This window comes from Homo sapiens, chromosome 17, assembly GCF_000001405.40.
Source record: "Homo sapiens chromosome 17, GRCh38.p14 Primary Assembly".
Lineage (NCBI taxonomy): Eukaryota > Metazoa > Chordata > Mammalia > Primates > Hominidae > Homo > Homo sapiens.
In genome coordinates, this window is record NC_000017.11 from 76,067,616 (window position 1) to 76,077,937 (window position 10,322).

Genomic DNA, 10,322 nt, shown 5'->3' on the forward strand with positions numbered 1-10,322 from the left:
CACCACACATGGCTAATTTTTGTACTTTTTGTAGAGACAGGGTTTCACTATGTCACCCAGGCTGGTCTCGAAATCCTTGGACTCCAGCAATCCGCCCACCCCAGCCTTCCAAAGTGCTGGGATTACAGGCATGAGCCACCATACCCGGCCCTAAACATTTATTGAACAACTAAAACATGGAGGGCAATATGATTGGTATTATAGGAAACACAAAGAGATGGAGGACACAGTGCCCATGTTCAAGGAACCCACATTAAAATTGAGTAGAATCATGCAGAGAAAATGGCAACCAAGAAAACAAGGCAAATGTCAAGTTGAAAGGACATGGGTAATCATTCTCTTGTTAGCACCTTCAGCTGCAGTGGACTGATGGCGGGGCCTAGAAAGAATGAGGGGCTGGGTGCAGTGGCTCACACCTGTAATCCCAGCACTTTGGGAGGCCGAGGTGGGCGGATCACTTGATGTCAAGAGTTCGAGACCAGCCTGCCCAACATGCAGAAACCCCGTCTCTACTAAAAATACAAAATTAGCCAGTTGTGGTGGCACATGCCTGTAATCCCAGCCTACTCGGGAGGATGAGGCAGGACATTCGCTTAAACTCAGGAGGTGGGGGTTGCGTTGAGCCAAGATTGCGCCATTGCACTTCAGCCTGGGCAACAACAGTAAAACTCCGTCTCGAAAAAAAAAAAAATTAGCCAGGCATGGCGGGCGGGCGCCTATAATTCTAGCTACTCGGGAGGCTGAGGCAGAGAACTGCTTAAACCCGGGAGGTGGAGGTTGCAGTGAGCCGAGAACACGCCATTGCACTCCAGCCTAGGCAACAGAGCAAGACTGTGTCTGAAAAAAAAAAAAAAAAAGAAGAAGAAGAAGAATGAGGAGGATTCTAATAAATGTAAAGAAAGCAGGGAAAGGGGCATCCTGAGGAAGACTAAGATGACACCAAACATATGGAGAAAGAACTGCAGGCAGGTCTGAAGAAAAGTGAGGAAGCCAATTAGGTTATCGCCAAGAAGCACTACAAATGTCACCTCTATGCCAAGCCTCCTCCTCTATGCTCATGTAGCTCTTTATTCTTCCTTCTATTACAGTGTGTGACATTATAATTATGTTCTCACATAGTTGTCCACTAATATAAATCCCTTTAGTGCAGGGAGAATTATTTTTTTGAGACAGAGTCTCACTATGTTGCTGTTGCCCAGGCTGGGCTCGAACTCCGGGGCTTAAGCAATTCTCGGGCCTCATCCTCCCAAGTAACTGGCACTATGGCATGTGCCACCATTCCAGCTAGGATTTCATTTTTAAATTTTCCACAATGCCTTACCACAGTGTCTAATATGCAGATGTTCAATACATACATTTTGACTAAATTAGTTTAAAATATATATATAAATAAATAAATATATATATATATAAAATTGCACCAACCTTTAAGTCAAAGTAATACAGCACATAATTTACAATACAAAATGATATTTCAATACTACTTCAGGGGCCGGGCGTGGTGGTTCACGCCTGTAATCCTAGCACTTTGGGAGGCTGAGGCAGGCAGATCACTTGAGGTCAGGAGTTCGAGACCAGCCTGGGCAACATGGTGAAACCCCATCTCTACTAAAAATACAAAAATTAGCCAGGCATGGTGGTGCATGCCTGTAGTCCCAGGTACTCGGGAGGCTGAGGCAGGAGAACTGCTTGAACCCGGAAGGCGGAGGTTGCAGTACACCGAGATCGTGCCACTGCATTCCAGACTGGGTGACAGACAAAGACTCTGTCTCAAAAAAATAAGTAAATAAATAAAATGAAATAAAAATAAATAAATAGGCCAGGCACATTGGCTCACACCCGTAATCCCAGTACTTTGGGAGGCTGAGGCAGGTGGATCACCTGAGGTCAGGAGTTCAAGACCAGCCTGGCCAACATGGTGAAATCTTGTCTCTACTAAAAATTAGCCGGGCATGGTGGCATGTGCCTTCAGTCCCAGCCACTCAGGAGGCTGAGGCAGAAGAATCACTTGAACCCGGGAGGCGGAGGTTGCAGTGAGCCGAGATCGCGCCACTATACTCCAGCCTGGGCAACAGAGTGAGACTCCGTATCAAAAATAAATAAAATAAATACTACTTCAGCATCTCAATCAAAGCTACCAGGGTATAGATTATTTAAAAGAAAAAAAAAAAAAGAAATAGGCCAGACACGGTGGCTCACGCCTGTAATTCCAACACTTTGGGAAGCTGAGGTGGGTGGATCACCTGAGGTCAGGAGTTTGAGACCAGCCTGGCCAACATGGCGAAACCCCATCTCTACTAAAAATACAAAAATTAGCCAGGCATGGTGGCACATGCCTATAATCCCAGGTACTCTGGAGGCAGAAGCAGGAGAATCACCTGAACCCGGGAGGCATGGGCTGCAGTGAGCCAGGATTGCGCCACTACACTCCAGCCTGGGTGACAGAGTGAGACTCCATCTCAAAAAACAAACAAACAAACAAACAAAAAAAACAGCTACTCAGGAGGCTGAGGCAGGAGAATCGCTGGAACCCAGGAGGTGGAGGTTGCAGTGAGCCAACATTGCGCCACTGCACTCCAGCCTGGCGACAGAGCGAGACTCCATCTCAAAAAAAAAAAAAAAAACAAAGCAAACAAACAAACAAAAAAAACAATGCTCTAGACTTTCTAGCATATTTGCTGATATAGCAGAGTAAACAGGATATTAACAAAAGCAAAGCAAGTCCCACAATGATTTCCAAACATCTTGTATGTGATACTAACCTGTACCTCTGAAAATCTCCATGCCGTAAACCATGCTGCTGCTGGGATTCCTTAATAATCTGAAGAACTAGAGTCGAGATTAAGGAAAATCTTACCATAGCAAGAATCCAAACAAATCAAAACCTGTACCATCAGTCTATATCTGTGTCAAACCACAACACATTAAACATTTGTGAAATATAGCCAGGTACGGTGGCTCATGCCTGTAATCCCAGCACTGTGGGAGGCCGAGGCGGGTGTATCACCTGAGGTCAGGAGTTCAAGACCAGCCTGGCCAGCATGGTGAAACCCCGTCTCTACTAAAAACACAAAAAATTAGCCGGGCGCAATGGCTAGCACCTGTAATCCCAGCTACTCGGGAGGCTGAGGCAGGAGAATCGCTTGAACTTGGAAGGCAGAGGTTGCAATGAGCCAAGACAGCGCCACTGCACTCCAGCCTAGGTGAGAGTGAGATTCAGTCACACATGCACATGCACACACACACACACACACACACACACACAAATTTGTGAAATATTTAGTACACTGGTGAGATCTTTTGTAACCATTTTCAATATCTATCTTGTCACAGGACAGGGCTAACCTACAGGAAAACTGATTGCCTGAACTGTTACTACTTGCAAACTGAAAAAGGAGGGCACTACTGGCCACTGGAAACTGCCAAAACCCAGTTTAAATTAAGCTGATGGATTCTAAATGCTGACTATAATTGGGGTGCTTCACACCAATTAACACCTAGACCCCACATTTTATTCATTCAGATTCAGGTTATAAATGACATGTACTAAGCCTCCATTTGCATAATCTCCAACACCTGCCAAATCTAACTTTCCTTAACAGCTGTGATGCTTAGAGAGTCTATGATTAGCACATGTCAACCAAGCTAGGCTACAGTTTGCATAAAAGTATTAAGGTTTTTCTTTCAAAAGAAGAATGGCCAGATTCTCCTTTTAATAATCTTAAAATATTTAAGATTATGTACTAATCTTTAGAAAGTCCAATGACCTTCATCTATATAGGTATAGTTTTAATGTTTCCTCAACACTTCTCTAGAGACATATTTTAAAATAGTGAACGCTAAAAGGACTCTTTAAATTACTAAAACGGGACAAAGAGATATAAAGGTCTCAGTAAAATCAGGGCTCGCTAGCGTCTACTTGGAACTATTACCAGTAATTCAAAATATTTAACTCCAAGCGCCTGAGAACTTTAAGCACATTAAGATGTCAAGTTGAATGTGTTATTTCAGAAACTCGCCTACGTTTTCTCCATTTGTTATTCATTTCAAAAGGTCACAAACTAGTACCACAAGCACTTGGTTGAGATACACACTGATGGAAACTAGAAACCGATTCCTCCAGCTTATATGAATGACTGTCAGCAAGATAAAATGCCTACAGACCGATCAGAAAAAAATGACACAATCGATATTAACTACGGTAACTTACAATCAAAATGGGCAACAAGCTTTTCCTGAGTCAATCTTTACCTCCACTTTCAAAGTATCGAGCTGTAGGTTTTACTACTCAGTCTATGACGACTGTCAGACAAGAGTATTAAGCCAAATGTCAAGACTGCAGTTTCCTCTCCCCAGTTCAGTGGCTCAAGGTGCCAAAGCAAGGTGCTCAAGGTGTCACTTGGTCACAAGCCCTCCAACTGGACAACTGCGGGGCACCAGGGGAAACCTGCCTGATATCCCAGTGCCACTGGAAGAAACGGACCTAGCCAGGACGGCGAGGGGGACACGAGGAAAGACTAGTCGAGAGACAGACCCCCCCCGGAATTCTGAGCACCAAAAGGTAAGGGCGAGAGAAACTGCAACCCTCGGCCTCTCCTGCCAGGACTTGTCGGGACCCGCCGCCTCTCCCGCCCCCAGCCCTCCAGTTCGACACGTAATCATTGCGAGTTAGGCCCGATTACTCTAGGATACTCTCCAAACTCAGGCTATCCCCAAATTCTTTGTTTGCCTTCGATCCGGCCGAAGGGCGTTCGTTTTCTTTATTTTCTTCCCCTCCGGCACCACGTCCACCGCCGCTACCGCCGCCGCCACTGCCACCGCCGCCGCCACTGCCGCCGCCGCCGCCGCCGCCTGGGACCTGCTTCTCAGCAGCCATCTTGCCCCTGCGCCGCAGAGCAAGACGGGATAGGGGAGGCGGGACGACCTGGGCGGGTGAGAGCTGGACCTGCCTGGCCGGGCTGATGGGATAGCGGCGGACTCCGCCGCCGTCGGCCCTTGCTGCAGCAGGGCGCCATGTGCTGGAGCGCGCCTGCGCGAGGGATCCTGTCATCCCGGGTCCGGAATTGTGGCTGGCTAGGTGGGGACTTGAGGCCGCAGTGAGACCGTGGCTGCTGAGATCTCAGGGGGCAGTCCCACCTCCCACCCACTAAGGGCGGAGAACCGGAGGTGGACCCCAGGTCCTGCATCCTGGACTGGGGATCTGGTTCACGTCCTGCCCAGCAGAAAGCAGGAGACCAAAGATACTGGATTTCGGGGTGTCTGCATCCCCAGGGACTCAAGAGATGGGGTCCTCCCTACCGGAACGGGACACCCCGTCCGTAAGGGACCCGCCTCTGCCTGCCCTTTCCTCTGAGGCTGGCCGTAAGAACGCCAAGCCGGAGGAAGCGCTGCGCAGTCAGCAGACGGTGTCCTAACGGGGTGACTTTCTCAGACCGCTTGGGGCCGTGGACCACTGCACTTTGGGGCCGTCAGTCCAAAGAGGGAGAAGTGTTGAGACATGGGAAAATATGAATTTTTGCTTTGCACCTTCTAGAGTCTGAGACCTGGGATTCCAATCCCCGCTCCGTCATTAGCGGCAGGGACATGTTGGGCACGTAACTTAATCTCCCTGTAAATCTGTTCCTTCATCTATGAAATGGGGATAACCAATTTAAGTGGTTGTTAGGAAGATTAAATGACGGATTTTTTTTTTTTTTTTAGATAGAGTTTCGCTCTTGTTGCCCAGGCTGGAGTGCAATGGTGTGATCTCGGCTCACTGCAACCTCTGCCTCCTGGGTTCAAGCCATTCTCCTGCCTCAGCCTCCCGAGTAGCTGGGATTACAGGCGCCTGCCACCACGTCCCGCTAATTTTTGTATTTTTAGTGGAGACGGGGTTTCACCATGTTGGTCAGGATGGTCTCGATCTCCTGACCTCGTGATCCGCCCGCCTCGGCCTCCCAAAGTGCTGGGATTACAGGCGTGAACCACCGCGCCCGGCCCTGAACTCTATTTTGAATTTCCTCAAGGTATACGGAATAAGGTCAGGAGAAAAAGAATAAGGATCTGATGCATTCAGATTTAACTAACTCTCCCATACATCTCATTCCTTTCTCAGCAGATCCCTCTTAGAAGGAAGTGTTACCATTTCCTTGTTACAGCTGAGGAAACTGAGGCATGGAGCCAAAGACAGAGCCTGACACAATAGATGCTCAGTATATTGGATTGAATTGGAGGGAAAACGTTCAATGGGTAAGAGAAGGGAAAAAGGTGGCCGGGCTCGGTGGCTTACGCCTGTAATCCCAGCACTTTGGGAGGCCGAGGTGGGCGGATCACTTGAGGTCAGGAGTTTGAGACCAGCTTGGCCAACATGGTGAAACCCCATTTCTACTAAAAATACGAAAATAAGCCAGGCGTGGTGGCAGGCGCCCGTCATCCCAGCTACTCGGGAGGCTGAGGCAGGAGGATCGCTTGAACCCGGGAGGCGGAGGTTGCAGTGAGCCGATATCATGCCACTACACTCCAGCCTGGGCGACAGAGTGAGACTCTGTCTCAACAAATACAAATACAAAAAACTAGCCAGACGTTGTGGCGGACGCCTGTAGTCCCAGCCCCTCAGAAGGCCGAGGCAGGAGAACCGTTTGAACCCGGGAGACGGAGGTTGCAGTGAGCCGAGATCGCGCCACTGCACTCTAGCCTGGGCGAAAGAGCCAGACTCCGGGGCCCCTCATCCGCCTCCGCCCCGCGTTTCCTCCCCCCGATCTCCCAGGGGTCCTCTTTTGAGGGCACCCCAGCCCCTCGACGGTCCCGGGATATCCTGCACCCCTGCCAGGCTGCAGGGAAGCGCCGAGGCGCGCGGAGTGCGAGGTCCGTGCTCCCTGCGGCGCGGCGCACACGCAGGGTCCGGGGTCGACCCCTCCACCGCTCCGGCGTCTGCCGGGGAAGTCAGTCCGCCTGGTCAGCCCAGAACCCCCGACTGCGGGGGCTGGAGCTCGGAAGCAGGTACAAGCGCCACTCTCCGCCTGCGCCGTGGAATGCGCGCCGGGACCACTCCGCAGCCCTTCCCCCAGCGCCGCCGGCCGCTGCTGGGGACAACCTCGCCCTCCTGTCTCTTGCTCCTCCTCCTGACCCCAGCGCACCCCCATCCCCGCCCCAGATGAGGCAAGGCTCCCTCCGCCTTCAGCCCGGCAGAGTCGCACTAGGAGTTGCAGCGGCCGCAGCCCCGGGAGCTTCCCGCTCGCGGAGACCCAGACGGCTGCAGGAGCCCGGGCAGCCTCGGGGTCAGCGGCACCATGAACGTCTCGGGCTGCCCAGGGGCCGGGAACGCGAGCCAGGCGGGCGGCGGGGGAGGCTGGCACCCCGAGGCGGTCATCGTGCCCCTGCTCTTCGCGCTCATCTTCCTCGTGGGCACCGTGGGCAACACGCTGGTGCTGGCGGTGCTGCTGCGCGGCGGCCAGGCGGTCAGCACTACCAACCTGTTCATCCTTAACCTGGGCGTGGCCGACCTGTGTTTCATCCTGTGCTGCGTGCCCTTCCAGGCCACCATCTACACCCTGGACGGCTGGGTGTTCGGCTCGCTGCTGTGCAAGGCGGTGCACTTCCTCATCTTCCTCACCATGCACGCCAGCAGCTTCACGCTGGCCGCCGTCTCCCTGGACAGGTGAGCCAGCGCCTTGGCCTCCCTGGGAGATGGGCATCCACGCGGGGGATGGAGCGGGAGGCGGGACTGGGGACCAAGAAGGGACGCGCAGAGTGGGACAGGACACTAAGAAGGCAGTGGAAGACAAGCGGGCGCGGAGGAGGAAAAAGAGGAATAAGAATGGGGGACCGTGGTGTCCCTCGGTTAGATGCGTCCTGGGGCCTGGAAGCCTGGAGAATGTGGCTCTCCAGCGCCGCCCGTGCCTGACAACGCGCAGCGTTTCCCAGTACGACGCGTTTGTGCGCGTTCATCTCGCTTGAGCTTAATGCCCTCCGTGAGGGTGGGATAGGACAAAGTGCCCAATATACAGAAGAGTTGAGTTCCTAAGTAACTCGCTCAGAGTCGCCAGCCAGGGATCGGGTGCGTGAAGTGACCGTCTGTCTCCTGCAGCCAACTTCAGGCGCCTCCACTGCGCTCGCCTCCAAGCCACGGTTTGGTTGGTTGGTGCAGCTGGCTCAGGTCCAGGCTGTGGATCTTGGGTCCTTTGCAAGGATCCACTCCGGAGTCCCAGCGAGCGTGCCTAAAGGTCCCTAGCTCAGTCCCAGCCCACTCTGCCTCTCGCCTCCAAACAAAACAAAACAAAATAAAATCCAAAACAAGTCGGGGCCGGGAGAGGAGCGTGCCCTGGGGTTCTTCCTCCCCAGCCAGAGGAGAGCGAGAGACGCACATTCGGGAGAGCGCGGGACTCAGGTGGAGCTTGAAAGGACACTGGGATGGTTCCTGGGGAGGAAATCCGGGTATTTCCCCTCTCCATCCTCTGGAAAAACAGAGAGGCGAGGCCAGACTGCCCCCACACCTCCTGTAGCCACTGAGCGCGAAGTGCGTTGGTTCCGAGCGCGCTGGTGGGATCCACAAAGCTCGCATTCTCTCAGGAATCCCCTGAGAAATTAACTGTCCCTTGCCCAACATGTCTTCTCCAGGCTGTCTGCTAGAGCCTCAGGCGCCTCCGCCCTCCCTCCCGCGGCACCGTCACCAGTGGGTAGTCACAGCCTCCCGGAGCCCATAGCCGGTTCTCCAACCTTTAGTCTTCAGTGGCTTTGGGGTGCCCTCTCAGTGGAGACTGTGGTTGCAGTCCCCGGGGGCAGCGGGAGAATGGCTTGAAGGCACACCTTTCCTGCTGCCGGGCCCGCCCCATTTCCAGGCTCCGCTGAGTGTCTGGGACACGCTGGGAGGCCCCCACCTCCGCCCTCACGCCGAGCCTCACCCCCACCTCCTCTGTGTGCGGTGTAACCATGCGCTAAGGACCTTCCTCGAGAGCAGCCTTGGGACCGAGGTGCAGGGGTCGCGGCCCTCCAGCATGAATGTGCCCGCTCAGCCGACGTCTCCCTTCCCGGTCTGACCGCAGGTATCTGGCCATCCGCTACCCGCTGCACTCCCGCGAGCTGCGCACGCCTCGAAACGCGCTGGCAGCCATCGGGCTCATCTGGGGGCTGTCGCTGCTCTTCTCCGGGCCCTACCTGAGCTACTACCGCCAGTCGCAGCTGGCCAACCTGACCGTGTGCCATCCCGCGTGGAGCGCCCCTCGCCGCCGCGCCATGGACATCTGCACCTTCGTCTTCAGCTACCTGCTTCCTGTGCTGGTTCTCGGCCTGACCTACGCGCGCACCTTGCGCTACCTCTGGCGCGCCGTCGACCCGGTGGCCGCGGGCTCGGGTGCCCGGCGCGCCAAGCGCAAGGTGACACGCATGATCCTCATCGTGGCCGCGCTCTTCTGCCTCTGCTGGATGCCCCACCACGCGCTCATCCTCTGCGTGTGGTTCGGCCAGTTCCCGCTCACGCGCGCCACTTATGCGCTTCGCATCCTCTCGCACCTGGTCTCCTACGCCAACTCCTGCGTCAACCCCATCGTTTACGCGCTGGTCTCCAAGCACTTCCGCAAAGGCTTCCGCACGATCTGCGCGGGCCTGCTGGGCCGTGCCCCAGGCCGAGCCTCGGGCCGTGTGTGCGCTGCCGCGCGGGGCACCCACAGTGGCAGCGTGTTGGAGCGCGAGTCCAGCGACCTGTTGCACATGAGCGAGGCGGCGGGGGCCCTTCGTCCCTGCCCCGGCGCTTCCCAGCCATGCATCCTCGAGCCCTGTCCTGGCCCGTCCTGGCAGGGCCCAAAGGCAGGCGACAGCATCCTGACGGTTGATGTGGCCTGAAAGCACTTAGCGGGCGCGCTGGGATGTCACAGAGTTGGAGTCATTGTTGGGGGACCGTGGGGAGAGCTTTGCCTGTTAATAAAACGCACAAACCATTTCACACACAGTGACAGCGCTGTTTCGCGTTTCTCATTGTCTTGAGATTCTGGGAGGAAGCCTCTGGGGCTTCACAGAGGGGCTCCCTAGGGGTAAGTGCAGGACCCTTTGCAGAGCTACCAGGAAAGAGGGCTGATCACACCTCAGGCAGCCGGGTTACAATCCGCATAAAAATCTGAGTCTGGGGAGCGTGCGACAGAGGCAGGCAGATTGTTTAAGGCGTTCGATAAAGTCGGTTGATGACAGACACAGATGTGTGTTCCCAGCCGCATTTGTGCTCTGGTGTGTGACAGGTCTGTCCTTGCCTGCTTTCAGCTCCCAGGGCCCCTTTGAGTCTGGGCAGCCCAGTCAGTCCCCGTCCATTTTTGGCCTTAGCTTTTCCTTCCCTGGCTACATCTGGGCCAGGATCA

At 54.1% G+C, this 10,322-nt stretch overlaps 2 protein-coding genes across 6 annotated transcripts in view, besides 6 other annotated features; one reads left to right on the forward strand and one right to left on the reverse strand.

The window, feature by feature from the left end:
- SRP68 (signal recognition particle 68) overlaps positions 1 to 4,902 on the reverse strand; it is a 33,733-nt gene extending 28,831 nt beyond the window's left edge. For 2 of the 3 annotated variants that reach the window (NM_001260502.2, NM_014230.4), the window contains exons 1-2: positions 4,693 to 4,902; positions 2,763 to 2,829 (exon numbers count right to left, since the gene is read on the reverse strand). In NM_001260502.2, the coding sequence (NP_001247431.1) occupies positions 2,763 to 2,829; positions 4,693 to 4,876 (251 nt within the window). In that variant the 5' untranslated portion in view covers positions 4,877 to 4,902. The remainder of the gene's footprint in view (positions 1 to 2,762; positions 2,830 to 4,692) is intronic. The other variant, NR_048541.2, reaches the window with a different exon arrangement.
- Positions 4,189 to 5,016: an enhancer, noted in NCBI's record as "H3K27ac-H3K4me1 hESC enhancer chr17:74067885-74068712 (GRCh37/hg19 assembly coordinates)". NCBI's record gives its function as "activates a minimal SCP1, AML or CMV promoter by ChIP-STARR-seq in primed H9 embryonic stem cells {active_cell/tissue: H9 hESC(primed)}" and the evidence as "EXISTENCE:reporter gene assay evidence [ECO:0000049][PMID:30033119]".
- Positions 4,347 to 9,922, forward strand: GALR2 (galanin receptor 2). 3 transcript variants are annotated; one of them, XM_047436984.1, is made up of 4 exons: positions 4,347 to 4,561; positions 6,095 to 6,228; positions 7,515 to 7,636; positions 9,021 to 9,922. In XM_047436984.1, exons 2-4 carry the CDS (start codon positions 6,154 to 6,156, stop codon positions 9,814 to 9,816), a joined length of 993 nt encoding a protein of 330 aa, XP_047292940.1. In that variant the 5' UTR covers positions 4,347 to 4,561; positions 6,095 to 6,153; the 3' UTR covers positions 9,817 to 9,922. The 3 variants fall into 3 exon arrangements, with proteins under 3 accessions (XP_047292940.1, XP_011523729.1, NP_003848.1); XM_011525427.4 differs by having other exon boundaries at positions 6,098 to 6,228; NM_003857.4 differs by lacking the exons at positions 4,347 to 4,561; positions 6,095 to 6,228 and having other exon boundaries at positions 7,166 to 7,636.
- Positions 5,015 to 5,064: an enhancer, noted in NCBI's record as "active region_12790". NCBI's record gives its function as "activates an Ori minimal core promoter by ATAC-STARR-seq in GM12878 lymphoblastoid cells {active_cell/tissue: GM12878}" and the evidence as "EXISTENCE:reporter gene assay evidence [ECO:0000049][PMID:35858748]".
- Positions 5,015 to 5,844: a biological region, named in NCBI's record as "H3K27ac-H3K4me1 hESC enhancer GRCh37_chr17:74068713-74069540".
- Positions 5,017 to 5,844: an enhancer, noted in NCBI's record as "H3K27ac-H3K4me1 hESC enhancer chr17:74068713-74069540 (GRCh37/hg19 assembly coordinates)". NCBI's record gives its function as "activates a minimal SCP1, AML or CMV promoter by ChIP-STARR-seq in primed H9 embryonic stem cells {active_cell/tissue: H9 hESC(primed)}" and the evidence as "EXISTENCE:reporter gene assay evidence [ECO:0000049][PMID:30033119]".
- Positions 7,231 to 8,112: an enhancer, noted in NCBI's record as "H3K4me1 hESC enhancer chr17:74070927-74071808 (GRCh37/hg19 assembly coordinates)". NCBI's record gives its function as "activates a minimal SCP1, AML or CMV promoter by ChIP-STARR-seq in naive and primed H9 embryonic stem cells {active_cell/tissue: H9 hESC(naive and primed)}" and the evidence as "EXISTENCE:reporter gene assay evidence [ECO:0000049][PMID:30033119]".
- Positions 8,995 to 9,875: an enhancer, noted in NCBI's record as "H3K27ac-H3K4me1 hESC enhancer chr17:74072691-74073571 (GRCh37/hg19 assembly coordinates)". NCBI's record gives its function as "activates a minimal SCP1, AML or CMV promoter by ChIP-STARR-seq in naive H9 embryonic stem cells {active_cell/tissue: H9 hESC(naive)}" and the evidence as "EXISTENCE:reporter gene assay evidence [ECO:0000049][PMID:30033119]".